Raw genomic sequence first — 17795 nt, 5'->3', positions numbered from 1 at the left:
GGAGGCCGAGGCGGGCAGATCACGAGGTCAGGAGATCGAGACCATCCTGGCTAACATGGTGAATAATACTAAAAATACAAAAAATTAGCCGGGCATGGTGGTGGATGCCTGTAGTCCCAGGTACTCAGGCGGCTGAGGCAGGAGAATGGCCTGAACCCAGGAGGCAGAGCTTGCAGTGAGCTGAGATTGCGACACTGCACTCCAGCCTAGGTGACAGAGCGAGACTCTATCTAAAAAAACAAAACAAAAATGAAAAAAAAAAACACACAAAAACATGTAATGGTATCCCATTGTGGTTTTAACTCACATTACTGTCAGAGGCATTGGAACCAGAGTGACTCCATCTTGAGCAGAGGCTAGATAAAATAAAGCTGAGACCTTCTGGGCTGCATTCCCAGGAGGTTAGGCATTCTTAGTCACAAGATGAGATAGGAAGTTGGCACAAGTTACAGGTCACAAAGACCTTGCTGATAAAACTGGATGCAGTAAAGAAGCTGGCCAAAACCCACCAAAACTAAGATAGTGATGAAAGTGACCTCTGGTTGTCCTTACTGCTCATTATATGCTAATTATAATGCATTAGCATGCTAAAAGACACTCCCACCAGTGCCATAACAGTTTACCAGTGCCATGGCAACATCAGGAAGTTACCCTATATGGCCTGAAAAGGGGAGGAACCCTCAGTTCCAGGAATTGCCCACCTCTTTCCTAGAAAACTCATGAATAAGTCACCCCTTGTTTAGCATAAAATCAAGAAGTAACAATAAGTATAAGCAGCTGAGCGGCCCATGCTGCTGCTCTGTCTATGGAGCAGCCATTCCTTTATTCCTTCACTTTCTTTGTTTTTTGTTTTTTGTTTTGTTTTTTTGTTTGTTTTGAGACAGAGTCTCACTGTGACACCTAGTTTGGACTGCAATGGCGCGATCTTGGCTCACTGAAACCTCCGCTTCCCAGGTTCAAACGATTCTCCTGCCTCAGCCTTCCGAGTAGCTGGGACTACAGGTGTGCACCACCATGCCTGGCTAATTTTTGTAGTTTTAGTAGAAATGAGGTTTCGCCATATTGGCCAGGCTGTTCTTGAACTCCTGACCTTAAGTGATCTGCCTGCTTTGGCCTCCCAATGTGCTGGGATTACAGGCTTCAACCACTGAGCCTGGCCTACTCCTTTGCTATCTTAATAAACTTGGTTTCAGCTTACTTTATGGACTCGCCCTAAATTCTTTCTTGTGCAAGGTCCAAGAACCTTCTCTTGGGGTCTGCATCAGGACCCCTTTCTGCCCTTTCTGGTAACAGTACCATAATAACAAATATTATCGAGCATATTTTCATGTAATTATTTGCAACTTGTATATCTTCTTTGGTAGAGTGTCTGTTAGAATATTTTGTCTATCTAAAAATTGGGTTTGTTTTCTTATTATTGAATTTTGAGAGTGTGTTATATGTTCTGGACACAAGCCCTTTATCAGAGATATGGTTTGCAAATATTTTCTTCTAGTCTGTGACTTTTCTCTCTTAACAATGTCTTTTGAAGAGCAGGTGTTTTAAATTTTGATGAAGTCAGATGTATCAATTTATGATTTTAATAAATCATGCTTTTAGCATAGTATTTAAGATACTTAACCCAAGGTCACAAGAGTTTTCTTTTAGAAGTTTTAGTTTTAGGTTTTGCATTTAGGTATATGATCCATTTTGAGTTAGTTTATATACATTGTGCAAGGTAAGGACTGAGGTTTTTAATTTTTGCATATAGATTACCACTTGTGCCAACCTCACTGTTGTGATGATATGATAGAAATCACTGTCTTTTCTCCACTGACTTGCTTTTGCATCTTTGTAAAAAGTTGGTCATGCCAATGAAACTGACCCAATTTTCCCATAGAACTGATGGGAAAAACTGTTTACAGTTTTGTTGTTGTTTTTTGTTTTTGTTTTTGTTTTTAATGAACATTGAAGTGGACTCTCCAGGTTTTAAAGCTTGAGAAACTTACATTTGTCTTATCTGAGTTTATTTCTCAGGAAACCAGCTGTCAGGCCTCCCAGATAGTATCAGAAAGCTGAAGATTTCCAGATCGCTGCATCCTAACAGCAAGGTGCCAGAACCCTGATTCAACTACCTACTGCCTGTTGAGCAACTCCTACATAAACTCCTAACTTTATTGGTTACAGAGACAGATTTTAGACTTGTCTCCCATATCCTGGCTGGCATCACCAGCAATAAAGCCTTTCTTCCTGGCAGTACTTGTTGTCTCAGTGATTGGCTTTCTGTGTGGTGAGCAATCAGACCTAAGCTGAATCCCTGGCATTCACCAACACATAAATGTGCAGTTCTGTTTCTGGACTCTCTCTTCTGCTTCATTGATCTGTTTTTCTAACTTTATGCCAAAATTGCACTAGTTTGATTACTGTTCCTTTATAATAAGCTTTGAAATAATGTCATATTAGGCCTCCAACTTTGTTCTTCTTTTTGAAAACTGTTTTGGCTATTTTAGGTCCTTGCATTTCCATAAAAGTATTAGAATCAGCTTATCAATTTCTCCAAAAAAAAAAAAAAAAGCCTACTGAGATTTTGATTGGGATTGCACTGGATTTATAGACCATTTTGGGGAGAACTGACATCTTAACAATATTGAGTCTTCCTCCCATGAACAAAGTATATTTCTTTATTTGTTTAGGTCTTCTTTAATTTTTCTCAACGATGTTGTATGGTTTTCAGTATATAGATCTTTCAGAGTTTTGTCAGATTAATTCTTAAGTATTTAATATTTTTGACCTAATTGTAAAAGGTATTATTTCTTTCCGTTTCAATTGCCAATGGGTTATTGCTAATATATAGAAATGCAATTGATTTTGCCTATAACTTTGCTAATAGTTCTAGTAGCTTTTTCATGTGAATTCCATTGGCTAGTCTACATAGCTCACTGACGCTCTGTTCATTAAAAGAATTTTTTCCCTCTGAGTTTCCTTTTAGGTAGCGTCTTTTGCTATGATTTCAATTTCACTTTTTTCCCCTTCTTCAATAGCTAATCTGCTACTAATCCTATAGTGTTTTTTTCATCTCAATATTGAACTTTCCATCTGTAGATGATTTGAGTCTTTTCTAAATCTTCCATGTCTCTATTTGACCTTTTAAACATATAGAATACAGCTATAGTAACTGTTTTAATGTCCTTTTCTGTTTATTCTACTGTCTGTGTCAGTTCTGGTTTGATTTCAGTTTATTGATTATTCTCTTCATTATGGCTAGTGTTTACCTCCTTCTTTTCATGATGAGTAATTTTTTATTTGATGCCAGCCACTATAATTTTATCTTGTTGGGTCTTGGGTTCTTTGCAATCTTATAAGTGTTCTTCAGCTTTGTTCTGCAATACAGTTAAGATACTTGGCAACACTTGAATACTTAAAGTCTTGCTTTTAAGATTTTTTAGGTGGTACTACAGCAGTGCTCAGTTTAGGCATAATTATTCCCCACTACTAAGTTAAGACCCTTCTGTGTACTCTATTTATTGCTTCATGAATCATGGTCTTAAATGTGGCTGGTAAGAATAGGTACTATTTCTAGCTGTGTCCGAGTATCAGACATTGTTTCTTCTAATCCACTCAGGTGGTTCTTTTGGCCTTGGGTAATTTTCTGTCATGCATGCACAAATCAATACTCAGAAGAATACTTAAGGAGGTCCCTCTGCAAAACCCTAGAACTCTGTGTGCACAAATCTCTCCTCTCTGGGAACCTGCTTGTGAGTTCTCACTGCTGTGGTTTTTCCAACCTTCAACTCTGTCTCCCCAACTCAGGGAGGCCTTGGGGCTCCACCAGGGTTCCCTCTCCCTATATCTTAGCCTCAAAACTCTTTCACAGTAGTAAATTTTGGCCACTGTATGGATGACATTATTTATGTCTCATCTCTTAAGTATCAAAGTATCATTATCCTTAATTGCCTGGTGTCCAGTACCTTAAAATTGCTATTTAATATATTTTGCTTTTTTTTTTTTTTCAGGGAGGAGGGTAAATCCAATCCATCTTGAATGAGCATATGTATTAGTTTTTATGCTCCTGATAAAGACATAGCTGAGGCTGAGCAATTTACAAAAGAAAGAGGTTTAATAGACTTATAGTTCCTTATGGCTGGGGAGGCCTCACAATCATGGCGGAAGGCAAGAAGGAGCAGGTCACATCTTACGTGGATGGCAGTAGGCAAAGAGTTTGTGCAGAGAAACTCACATTTTAAAACCATCAGATCTCCTGAGACCCACGAGAACAGCACAAGAAACAGCACGGGAAAGACGTGCCCCCATGATTCAACCATCTCCCACTGGGTCCCTCCAACAACATGTGGGAATTATGGGAGCTACAAGATGAGATTTCGGTGGGGACACAGAGCCAAACCATATCAGGGTAGAATGGTATTAAAGAAAAAGATTTTCTTACACTTATTAAGGCAGTAAGAAAGATTTATTCAAGATTATTGCAATAGGTATCAAGACTGTGCAATAGGAGACAGGAAATGGTTGAGCTCAACTCTGAATACAGCAAAAACCACTGGAGGTTTTTAGCCAGTGAGCAGAATGGGAGGAGAAGAGTCAGTGGATGGAAAATTACTAAGAGGAGAAATCAAAGGTGGGAGGATTTTCCCTAAACTGACTTAGCAGGACTCTTGTTACAATTGGACTAGGCAGGCTGAAGACAGGATGCAAGGACAAAGCTTGTTGAAAAGAGGCCTCAGAGGAGCTCATCTAAAATTTGGTCAAGGGGAGGGTCTTTCTTGGTCCCTCCTCTTGTTCAAGGGAAAAAGAGACATTCTTCTTTCCTTTGAACAATATAAGTCAATTTCTCATTTGGTGGCCTTTTTTTCATTAAGGACAAGCTGAGCCCCCTGCTGAAACTTGGTAGCAGGGCAGCCAGTTGAGAAGATTTCTAGATGTCAAGGCATCTTTAGATGATGGGGTGAGGACTGCAGTGGCCATCCCAGATCATGGATTTTCTGGTTTGCAGTTTGAATGTCCTTGGTGATGGCATAGACATCAGTGTCACAGTCATGGTTATTTTTCCGAGCAGAGTGTAGAAGTGTCCAACTTCATCTTGAAGGGCTTCTTTAGACAGTCACAATAAAGATCTGGGAAGTTAGGTTTTAGTTCTCAGTGATGCCAAATCAGGACAGTGGGAGAAAAATTAAAAACCTCAGTTTGGAGAGTGGTAGCCAGATAGTAAAGGGAACTAGAAGAACTGAGAATTTGGTAAGGACTGACAAGCTGTGCATGATGACAGGATCCCGTTCAATTTACAAGTAGATAACAAAACCTGAAAGACAAGTACAGGACCAGAATAATAACCCATAAGAAGGTGCTATAGTTTTTATAAAATATCTTTCTACAGTCATCCCCCTTTTTTGATCCAAATTAACCAAAGTAAGATTATTCTTGTTTACAAAATAAGTCTTGTCTCATTATATTTGACTTACTTATTTGCATAATTGCAGCAAGAATGGCAACTGACCAGGTAGGCTTATTTAAGTTTGCATTGCTGGAACTTTTTACAAGTAATCTCAGATTATGCTTTCAAGAGTTCTTGAAGCTATAAAGCCAAGTCAAGCACCACCAGGCCTTATCTGCAATGCCTAGAGATTCAGATGGGTTCTTCTCTTCTTGAGGTCCTAAAAACATCCTGAGTTTCTTTGGCCTGCCAGAAAGTCACCTTCCTGACTCACCTGTAAGGCTGGGAACTCCATAATCCAGGTACCAGGCAGACTTTCCGGGAGGGCTTCATATGCATTGGCTCCATAAAGTTAACCTTAGTTCCTCAAAACTGTCTGTTCATATGTGATTTTATGTCTTATTCTCAGTTGGAAATGCAGAAATCACCTGTCTTCTGCGTCGATCAGGCTGGGAGCTGCAGACCGGAGCTGTTCCTATTCGGCCATCTTGGAATGGACCCCCATGTCTTATTCTCAAATAAAACATTTTGGTCAAAGCCTTGATTATCTAATCAATTTTTAAAATTATGTTCTGTTACAAAAAGGACAGATTCTTATCGAACCCATATAAAATAGTATATCACCATTGATACGGTTTGGATCTGTGTCCCCACTCAAATCTGATGTTCAATTGTAATCTCCCAGTGTTAGAGGTGAGGCCTAGGGGGAGGTGATTGGATCATGGGGACATTTTCTCATGAATGTTTTAGCACTGTCCCCTTGGTGCTGCTCTTGTGCTGGTCAGTGAGTTATCGTGAGATATGGTTGTTTAAAAGTGTGTAGCAGCTGGACATGGTGGCTCACACCTGTAATCCCAGCATTTTGGGAGGCCAAGGTGGGCAGATCACCTGAGGTCGGGAGTTCGAGACTAGCCTGACCAACATGGAGAAACCCCATCTCCACTAAAAATACAAAGTTAGCTGGGTGTGGTGGCGGGCGCCTGTAGTCCCAGTTACTCGGGAGGCTGAGGCCGGAGAATCGCTTGAACCCGGGAGGCCGAGGTTGCCGTGAGCCGAGATCGTGCCACTGCATTCCAGCCTGGGTAACAAGAGTGAAACTCCGTCTCAAAAAAAAAAAAAGAAAGTGTGTAGCACCTTCCCACTCTCTCTTTCTTCCTTCTGCTCTGAGTATGTGATGCGCCTCACTCTCCTTTTGCCTTCCACATGACCGGAAGTTTCCTGAGGTCTCCGGAGAAGCAGAAGCTGCCACGCTTCCTGTGCAGCCTGCAGAGCCGTGAGCCAATTAAACCTCTTTTCTTTATAAATTACCCAGTCTCAGGTATTTCTTTATGGCAAAGTGTGAACAGACTAATACAACCATGAACATAAAAATACTCAGTAATAGTTTCTGAATTATGGAAGGATTAGGAAAAAAGATAAATGTTCCATTTTTGTTATAGAAATGTATCTACTAAATTGTTACATATTATAGCTAACTTAAGAGAAAAAGAAAAGGGGTTCCTTATGTCCAGAAAATAGAACATTAAGAACAAGCAATGTTCCAAACAAAAAGCCATAAAAATTATACTCCTTCTTTAGTTGATTCAGTCCTATGTAATTAATTCTTGTTTTGCTTGATCATGGGTTAGCAGTTTCATGAACTCAACTAGAGTTTCGAAAACCCTCACTCAGTCCAGCAGTATGATATTCAAGTTTTTTAGGCCATGTCAGTATCAGATGGGGGCTGGGGAGGTTGATGGGTAGAAAATTATTAAGAGAAGTAATTACCAAGAAAAATATCAAGGGGAGGGGAATTCTTGCTAAACTGACTTTAACAGGATTCTTGCTGAAGGCAGACCAGTGTGGTCAGAGGTCAAGGTTGAGGGACTCTCACTAAATTGGCTTAGCAGGATCCCTGCTAAAACTGGACTAGGCAGGCTGAAGCCTGGGTCCAGGGATGAGTCCTGTTAAAAAGAGGGCTGAGAGGGGCCTTCTAAAGTTTGGTCACTGAGACTGTCTTTGTCAAGGGCCCTTCCTATGTAGTATTTATGACGGTATTTTGTCTGGCATTAATAGAGTTAATATTGTGTGCCTTTCACAGCAAATCAAAAAATATCAGAGCATTTAAGAGTATCAAGATATCATGTTGACCTTGGAACTGATAGCTTGAAGCAAAAAAATAAAAAAATTGCTGCTTAATTCCTCTGATAAGCTCTTGAAATAACTGAACTCTAACCCTGGTAACCGTCACCTACTTCACAAGGTTGATGGAAGGCACAGGTAAGAAGAGAAAGCCATAACTGTTTGAAGATGGGCAGATTCTGACCAAGACTCCAGACTGTAAGGCCAGGAAAGAGAGAGGGCTTTCCTAAGTCTTGAGCCCAGGTGTATGCCTGGATCCCCAGTCTGGGCTCTGGCAAGAGACAATCAAAGATCCCAGCAAAAATATTACACTGTTCCAATTCATGGTTAAAAATGTTGGCATAGGTAGTGGTATTTATCTCTGGGTTTTTAATTGACAACCAGGAGCAGCGAGTTAATATTGAAGAGCCCTATTCAGGAATGAATATACACACTCCAGGGGTGGTCTGTTGGAATTTGAAAGACTATTAAGAGGCTCCTCCTTTGGGAGGCCGAGGCAGGCAGATCAGGAGGTCAGGAGATCGAGACCATCCTGGCTAACATGGTGAAAACCCATCTCTACTAAAAATACAAAGAATTAGCTTGGTGTGGTGGCACACGCCTGTATTCCCAGCTACTCGGGAGACTGAGGCAGGAGAATCGCTTGAACCTGGGAGGTGGAGGTTGCAGTGAGCCGAGATCATATCACTGCACTCCAGCCTGGGCGACAGAGCTGGACTCGGTCTCAAAAAAAAAAAAAAAAAAAGAAGAAGCAGCTCCTGCTCTAGAGAGTCAGCTATAAGAACTTCCTCTATCCTCAATGAACACCAACAGCTTTGCTATCTGGCATAATGGATTTTAGGAGTCATTTTCATTGGTGAAGTAAGAGTTGTTCAAAATATTATGGGCTGACTGGAAGCACTGTATCAGATTGCATCTCCTTGCATAAACAGGGTATTATGACCTAGAAAGCCTAGTGGATAATGTATGCCCTTCCAAATGCTGTCTCTGGTTTGGGATTTGAATCAGGACTTGTATCCACAGCTCATAGAAAGGTTCCTGCACCTGACCCTGACTAGACATGAAGCTAAATCATGCTGTTCGAGTACTGTCACATCTGCCTTAAGTGAATCTGTTATGTAAGGCACCTGTCAGTGTGCCAGCAGAACAAAGCACCAGTACTTGGTTGAGTTTACAGAACTGGTTGTACCACGTTTTTGAGCCTGCTGGCTTCTAAATGTTTATTTTATGGCCGAATTCCGTCTGAGACTTGCTTTCATTGTAACATACCACCTGGTATGAAGCTGAGGAGACCTATAGCCCTCACCTACATCTATTATGGGCCCACATACATGTGTTTGTGTTTCTTAGCTTAGGGAGGTTTCAGAAGCCCCGAGGCTGGAGTAAAGCATGGTTACGGACTCTTGTTGTAGCAGAAATGTTGCTTACTGTCTTTCTATGACCCTTTGTATTTCTGTGTATTGGTTCTTCACCACTAATAATAAACCGCCTCAGTTCTTTTCTTAGAAGGACGTTGAACACTAACTATACGGCATTGAGCTAGGGATGAATTAAAGGGGAGCTCCCTGGAACTCCAGGAACTGTTTTCAAAATGTGCCTGTTTGTGTTTATATGGTAACGTTTGGCTGAATCCATTTCACCTTCTGAGTAACACTTAAGGCAAAGCTGAAATTCTTGCTGTCAACAAAACCCCCAAGACTACAATTTCTACCCAGCCTCTTTCAAAAAGCATGGAAAACCTCCTCCATTCCAGCTTATTTTTGCATTGAGGCTGGTATTTCATTTGTTTGTTCTTTCGCTTTCTTTAAGCACCACTGCCCAGCAGTGTGGCGTGAGTACTGCTTGCTTTCTGCTCCCAGTCTCACTTTTTTTTTTTTTTTTTTTTGAGACAGAGTTTTGCTTTGTCACCCAGGCTAGAGTGCAGTGGTGTGATCTTGGCTCACTGCAGCCTCCACCTCCTGGGTTCAAGTGATTCTCCTGCCTCAGCCTCCTGAGTAGCAGGGATTACAGGTGTGCACCACCACACCCAGCTAATTTTTGCATTTTTTGTAGAGATGAGGTTTCACCATGTTGGTCAAGCTGGCCTCAAACTCCTGACTTCAGGTGATCTGCCTGCCTCAGCCTCCCAAAGTGTTGGGATTATGGGCGTGAGCCACCTCGCCTGGCCCCAGTCTCTCATCTTTGTACCACACATATAACTTTGGTTTTGTAAGTAAGAAAATGCTTACTCCTTGCTGTTGACTACACTGTGAGATTCCTTTTGAGAACCCCACAAATAAAGTCAATACAACCATCAGGAATCCTTAGACTCATTAAAATTCCAGACCCTGTAAAAACAATATTTCCTGTTGAATCTCAACATGAACAAAGAGTGATCAACTGAGAGTCAAACGTGACTGTGGGATGAGTGAGTTTGGACATTAACCACATGATGTGTAGAGGAGGCACATCTCTTGTTGACACTCGCTTGTCCATGTGACACTTCTGCTTTCCTGACACGCACTCATGGATACCACGAGTGTGTGTGTCATGGGAAGTGCACGCCACCGAGCGGGCGCGGGGGCTGACCGGGCTGGGTCACTGCAGTGAAAAGTCATGTGGAAAAAGCTACCATTCATTTAATTGTTTTCACTTCTCACCTTGAACTCAGCTTTGTGACCACTCTGTGAAAACAAAACCAACACAGGTATCCTGCCACAGAATCGCCATGTGTTAAAAGATTCCACAGAGGTGTGACTGGACAGCAAACAGCGTTTTTCAGAGAGCTCCCTGTTAGTGGCAAAATGAACATTCCCTTAGGAGGGCAGATCCCTTTTCTCAAAAGGCCAGAGGATGGGGATGCGGAAGGGGGTTGACTGTCTGATTGGGATTTATGCCAGTGGAATGCAGCCAAGTTGTGCTTATAAAGGCCTTATTCTTCCTCAGGTCAGAGCAGTACTACTGGGAGAGCCAAGGCGCTTCTCTGGATGCACTCAACTACAGGGATCTTTCTTTTGTACATGCTTGAATATTTACCATTAGGTTTGATGTAGTGGAAAGACTCCTGGATTTGGAATCGGAAACTCTGAACGAGAAGACACTTATTTTGTCACGGTACGGGAGGAAATGTATCTTCCTTGCCCATCTCAGGTTCAGGGCTGAGGCCCATATAAGAAAAGACAGATTAAGAAGAGAAAAGTATACACATTTAGTTAATCTAAGTTTTACTTGACACGGGAACCTTCATAAGGAAATGACCCAGAGAAACAGTTCAGCCTGGCTTCTTTTGTACAACAGGTTTGACGAGAAGTGGCCAGGTGTGCGGAAACGTGATTGGGGAAAGAGTGTGGTCTGATGGGAATAAACTGGGGGAAACTGAGCAAGGCCTGTTTGTTCAGCTTCTTCTTTGTCTTCAGAAATAAGGATGTTCCCTTTCTCCGGGTCTAGGGAGGGCACCGCTCACAGGAGGGTCTTACGATGACCTGCTTCAGGAGAAGGTCAGAAAATCCTTCTTAGGTTTTACGACCTGATTCAGCAGGCAAGGTGAGGGGAAAGGTGAGAGGGAGCTTCTTGCACGTGCCATCTCTCAGATTCCTTCAGCTTAAGATATTCAGTGTGTCAAGGTACCACAGTTTGGGGTAGCATGTCCTGAACCCTGTCATTACTTAACCATTCTGAGCCTAGAGCTGTCTTTTGTAAAATGCAGATAATATCCCACGCCTTACAGGACAGTTCAATCAGAGGAATAAATAAAAGTGCCTATGCAGGTACCTGGAGCATAGTACATGCTCAATAAATGTTTTTGCTCTCAATCTAATTTTAAAATTAATTATATCGGTGTAATCCTTCCATAGCTCTTATTTAATTTTTATGTTTGACTCCCCAAGGAGGTTGTAAATACATCCTAGAGGGAAGGGACCTTAGATTATCTTTTTATGAAAAGTCAACAGCAGTAAGTGAAAGAAATCACTGTACATTAAATTTTTTTGTCAAATGAATGTCACTGCTTTCTAAAAGTACTTAAAAAACACTGATATTATGCAACTTCCTCCTAGCTCTGGAGACATCCTGGAGGTTACCCTTATGACTCAACTAAGAAAGCCCCTCAGGACTGAGGATGGGACAACTGGGATGTAATTGGGAATTGAGGGGGTGATGGAGAGATCCACTCTCCATACTGTTCTCTAGGAACAGCGGGGACACACCTGCTGCTCTTGTTCATCAGCTCGTCAGCCATCAGGCTGCCCCTTTGCTCTTGCTTTTAATACACTAGCACCTGTGCAGGAAAACAGAAGAAAAGAACACACATTCTTCAGGCCTTTGTGATCCCTCCTGTGTTCATTCGAGTGAACTAGAGAACCAGAGCTGGGAAAACCCCCATGGCGATGCATGCAAAGACATGCACACAGGTGACTCCTGTCTGGGTACTAGCTGGAACAACAAACACTATGCTATACGTTCTCTGAGGTCCACGTGGTTGAACTTGAGTCTGAGAAAGCATCTTGTCTGATGGGTTCACCCAGAAGCATCTCAGGTCAGGACAGAAAAATCCTGACATCAGGAGCATCCATGCTGCTTTGCCTTGACCAACCGGTCACCCTGAGTGTGATGGAAACTAGATTTACTCTGGCTATTGAGGCATGGTCTTTCTCTTGCTCTCTTTAATAGAACTTCCTTCTTTCACTAACAATGAGGTTGAGAAAGTATGTTGAGGCTTAAATATTTCAACAAGACGGAGCGCCAAAAGCCAGGAGCTTCCCAGTATTTCTGAAGCTCTTTCCGCTTTTCCAGAATCAACCCCCTTTTTCTATTTACTGTCATCCATTAAAATATAATGCTCTGTCAACACCACTGTTTCTGTTTTGAATCTTCCAAGCCTGGGTTTGGTAAACAGTTTTCAATTCATTGACTGTTAATCATTCATTTATCTGCATGTTCAATGACACCAGCATTTGCTGTGTTCTTCCTATGTGCTGGTCGCCGGGTTTTACAGATGAACAAAATGAAGCTCAGAGGATAATCACTTCTCCAGTGGCAGCTGCTAAGCAGCAGAGCTGGGATTTGAAAGAAGCTACTCAGGCTTTAAGTCCCATGTATTTTATTCAATACACCTAATTTCAACATCTAGCAAAAATAGAAAACTGATGATAATCTACCTGTAATTATGGATACTTTCATTCTTTTTTTATTTTAATTTTTTTTGAGGCAGAGTCTTGCTCTGTGGCCCAGCCTGGAGTGGAGTGGTATGGTCTCGGCTTACTGCAACCTCTGCCTCCTGGGTTTGAGCAATTCTCCTGCCTCAGCCTCCTGAGTACTGGGACTACATGCATGTGCTACCACACCTAGCTAATTTTTGTATTTTTAGTAGAGACGGGGTTTTGCCACTTTGGCCAGGCTGGTCTCAAACTCCTGACCTTAGGTGATCTGCCTGCCTTGGCCTTCCAAAGTGCTGGGATTACAGGAGTGAGCCACTGCACCTGGCCTATCCTTTCACTCTTAAAGGAACTTTTCCAGCTATTCCACCCAACTGGCTGCCAGCGTTACCTTCCTAAATAACTTTGCCTTTATCATCTCTAGGTCAACATACCATCAGTTCAGGAGGAAAAAAATAGGTTTGAGATTAGAGATTGGGAATATTGGTTCAGACGCCAATTCTTAATTGCAAGATCTCCTATACTTTTAATTATACTTGTAGGGGAGGAAAAACATTTGTTCTCTGCTCTCCTGTGTTCAGTGGTTGGGGGCCCCAGGAATTAAATTCACACAAGACAGACTACCAAGAGAGAATAACAGATACAATTATGTATGCTGGCACAGGAATTCACAACGAAATGTGATTCGAAGAGGCATTTAGAATTTGGAGCTTATATAAACCATCTTAGGCTGGACAAAGGAAAGGGGATTTTGGGCTTCTGAGATGGGAGGTAAGTTATGGGAAGGTGAAGGGAGAAAATGTATAATAAACAAGTGTTGTTTAATAACGTTTGTTAGGCAGATAAGAGTCGCCTCAGGTGCTAAAAGTTGTCTCTGGAGTATTTCTCTTCCTGGTATGGGAAAGGGAGACACCCTTACAAATGGAAATTTATGTCCTGTTTTTAGACAGAATAGGGGATGGCAGACAGCGAATTGCCTTCAGCTCAAAACAATTCTTACGCCAAAGTGGCATATTTGGGGGTGGCACATTCTATTTCCCATTATACCCAAGATGCATGAATCTGAAGCCCTACTTTTTTGTTTTAGTACACATTACTTCCATTGTTATTTAGCTCTTTTCCAAGGCTATAAGCTACTTAAGGAGAAGAGAAGTGGTTTCTTTAGTTTTGTGTCTGTGGCATTCCCTCTTAAAAGCTACTGTTTATTTAGCACCCATGATATCTCATGTGCTTTATGTACATTACCCCCAGAACACTTTCAGTTAATATAAAAATCTCCATTTCACAGATGAAGACATTTACCCTCAGAGAGATTAATTGGTTTACTGAAATCATTCTGCAAATATGTCGCAGGGGACTCAGGATTTGTTCCTAGATCTTTGTATTAGTCAGCGTCTTCAAGAGAAACCGAACCAATAGAATGTGTATTTAGGTATATAGAGAGATTTATTTTAAGGAATTGGCTCATGTGATTATGGAGGCTGGCAAGTCCAACGTCTGCAGGGTGAACCAGCAGGCTGAAGACTCAGAGAGGAGCCAATCCTGCAGTCAAGTCTGAAGACTGTCTGCTACCAAAGTCCCTCTTGCTCGGGAGAAGGTCAGTCTTTTGTTCTATACAGGCCTTTGTGAACCCCCAACATTTGAGACAGGTCTAAGTTAATTTAGAAAGTTTATTTTGCTACAAAAATTAATCAGGCATGGTGGCAGGTGCTGGTAATCCCAGCTACTCAGGAGGCTGAAACAGGAGAATCACTTGAACCTGGGAGGCAGAGGTTGCAGTGAGCCAAGATCGTGCCACTGCACTCCAGCCTGGGCAACAGAGCAAGACTCCATCTCAAAAAAAAAAAAAAGAAGAAAAGAAAGAAAGTTTATTTTGCCAAGGTTGAGAACGCATGCCCATGACACAGCCTCAGGAGGTCCTGATGACATGTGCCCAAGGTGGTCAGAGCACACCTTGCTTTTGTACATTTTTAGGGGACATGAGACATCAATCAACATATGTAAAATGACTATTGGTTCAATTCGGAAAGGCGGGACAACTCGGAGCAGGCAGGGGGCTTCCAGGTCACAGGTAGGTGTGAGACAAACGGTTCCATTCTTTTGAGTTTCGGATTAGCCTTTCCAAAGGAAGCAATCAGATCTGCATTTATCTCAGTGAGCAGAGGGATGACTTTGAATAGAATGGGAGGGAGGTTTGCCCTAAGCAGTTCCCAGCTTGAATTTTCCTTTAGCTTAGTGATTTTGACGGCCCAGGATATTTTCCTTTCACACCTTCAGCTGATTAGATGGGGCCCACCACATGGGGAAGGGCAATCTGCTTTGCTCCAAGTCCCTCATTTTAAAGGTTAATCTCATCCAAAAGACCCTCACAGAAACGTCCAGATTCATGTTAAGCCACATATCGGCACACTGGCCCAGCCAAGTGGACAGAAAATTAACCATCAGCATTTTCTGGTAGGAAATTTCACACTCACTTCTTTTTATCACATTAAGGTTCTTCTCAACGTAGGTTAGTTGGTGACCTTGAGTCAAGTTCAAGCCATGCATGTTAACCTGGAGCAAAAGCCCCCCCTCCCCATCTTACGTGAAATGTGTAATCACCAATTTCAGGTCTTTGTTTACAGATAAAATTTCTAAGGGATTTTCTGTCTCTGGAAACTTAAAAGGCCAACCTGATGTGGGTGTTTTTTCATTTGTTTTGTTTTGTTTTGTTTTTGAGCGGAGTCTCGCTTTGTTGCCCAGGCTGGAGTGCAGTGGTGCGATCTCGGCTCACTGCAAGCTCCGCTTTCCAGGTTCACGCCATTCTCCTGCCTCAGCCTCCCGAGTAGATGGGACTACAAGCACCCGCCACCAAGCCCAGCTAATTTTTTTTTTGTATTTTTAGTAGAGACAGGGTTTCGCCATGTTAGCCAGGATGGTCTCGATCTCCTGATTTCATGATCTGCCCACCTCGGCCTCCCAAAGTGCTGGGATTACAGGTGTGAGTGGGTGTTTTTAAAGAGTAGAGACATTCTCAAAGGATCCTGTCTCTGGAGCCAGCTTTAGGGACCTCTTGGTTAGTTCTGGAAGACAATCTAATACAAGGAAGTGGAAGAGAAGAGAAGAGAGATTAGGTTTTTATATTTAAGCAAAGCCACTTTATTCTTACTTTCTGAAATGAGAGAAAAGGGAAATGTAGATAGATTGATCATGGGCCAGTACATTGATAGCATGTATAATTAAGTTTTCCTAAAGTTGCAGTTATATTTTAGCCTGCTTTAGATGGCAGTTTTGCTTTCAAGATATTTAATTTTTTTTTATTAAAACCAAAAGCAAAGGCTTTAAGAAAACTAATTTCCCAGAATGTGTTTCTGTGATTCTGGAAGCTTTTCCTGGTGGGGCTGAGATCGGAAGCAGAGCCGTCAGGCCAGCAGAATGGGGGGGAGGGGCCGTGGAGATGGAGGAGATGGGCTTGTGAGTGCTCTGGGATGGAAAAGCCGTGGGAACACAGTCTAGTCTGTCCTTTCAGCCAAAGACCCCCAGGCGGAACTCTATGGCTCAAGGTGTTCCAAGTCGTCATTTATTTTCATATTTGTACTTTTTATTGTGATGAAATAGACATAAAATTTGCCATTTGAACCACTTTTAGGAGGCCGGTACACTGGCATTGATTACATTCACAATGCTGTGCAACCATTGCCACCATCTATTTCCAAAAATGTTTTCATTATTTTCATCATCCCAAACAGAAGCTCCATATCCAGTAAACAGCAGCTCTCTCTCCCCTCAGTCCCTGGTAACGTCTCTTCAACCTTCTGCCTCTATGAAGTTGCCAATTCTAGGTTCCTTGTATGAGCAGAATCATTCAGTGTTTCTTTTTTGGGTCTGGCTTCTTTCGCTTAGCAGCATGTTTCCAATCAATGTTCATCCATGTCGTAGCCTGTGTCAGAACTTCATTCCTTTTTTTGCTTGTTTGTTTTTTGTTTTTTGAGATGGAGTCTTGCTCTGTCACCAAGCTGGAGTGCAGTGATGCTATCTCGGCTCACTGCAACCTCGGCCTCCTGGGTTCAAGCGATTCTCCTGCCTCAGCCTCCTGAGTAGCTGGGACTACAGGTGCGTGCCACCACGCCCAGCTAAATTTTGTATTTTTAGTAGAGGTGGGGTTTCACCATGTTGGCCAGGATAGTCTCAATCTCTTGACCTCAGGATCCTCCCACCTCGGGCTCCCAAAGTGCTGGGATTACAGGTGTGAGCCACTGCGCCCAGCCCTTCATTCCTTTTTATGGCTGAATAATATCCCATTGTAGGGATACATTTGTTTATGCATTTCTTTCTTTCTTTTTTTTTTTTTTTGGTTAGACAGAGTCTCGCTCTATTGCCCAGGCTGGAGTGCAGTGGCATGATCTCAGCTCACTGCAACCTCCACCTCCCGGGTTCAAGCGATTCTCTTGCCTCAGCCTCCCAAGTAGCTGGGATTACAGGCACCTACCACCACACCTGGCTAATTTTTGTGTTTTTAGTAGAGACGGGGTTTCACCATGTTGGCCAGGCTGGTCTTGAACTCCTGACCTTGTGACTCACCTGTCTTGGCCTCCCAAAGTGCTGGGATTACAGGCATGAGCTGCCATGACTGGCCTGCATTTATTTTTTGATCCGACATTTTATTTGAGAAAATTGTCAGTGATTTATTTTAAAAAGAGCATTTTTTTTTTCCTGATGGGTGTTAAAGTGGATATTCCTTTCTGTTGAATAGGATGTGGTATACAGGTATTAGTGTGAGGCTGATGACTAAGAGCATGTGGCATTTCTGTGAGTGGCACAAGAGCCTAATAAAAATCAGTATCTACCCTGAAATTCTAAGTGAATTTACCTTGTGCCCAGGGCTTTAACTTTTCCCTAGATTCTGGAAAAGCATACTGTCCATGGCCTAAAGTTTGTGGGATGAGAAAGTTTTCACCTGGTGAAATGTTTGTAGGTGATTACATTTTGGGGGCATTGAATTTTTTTAAAATAAGAAATCTAAAATGTGATACATACACACCATGGAGCACTATACAGCCATAAAAAAGAAAGAGATTATGTCCTTTGCAGCAACATGGATGAAGCTGGAGACCATTATCCTACGTGAACCAACTAAC

At 42.2% G+C, this 17795-nt stretch overlaps 1 annotated feature.

Annotated features, from left to right (window-relative positions):
- Positions 11690–12249: an enhancer, noted in NCBI's record as "active region_22210". NCBI's record gives its function as "activates an Ori minimal core promoter by ATAC-STARR-seq in GM12878 lymphoblastoid cells {active_cell/tissue: GM12878}" and the evidence as "EXISTENCE:reporter gene assay evidence [ECO:0000049][PMID:35858748]".

Source organism: Homo sapiens, chromosome 4, assembly GCF_000001405.40.
Source record: "Homo sapiens chromosome 4, GRCh38.p14 Primary Assembly".
NCBI lineage: Eukaryota > Metazoa > Chordata > Mammalia > Primates > Hominidae > Homo > Homo sapiens.
The sequence above is the reverse complement of the archived record's forward strand: the minus strand, read 5'-3'. Positions and strand labels throughout refer to the sequence as shown.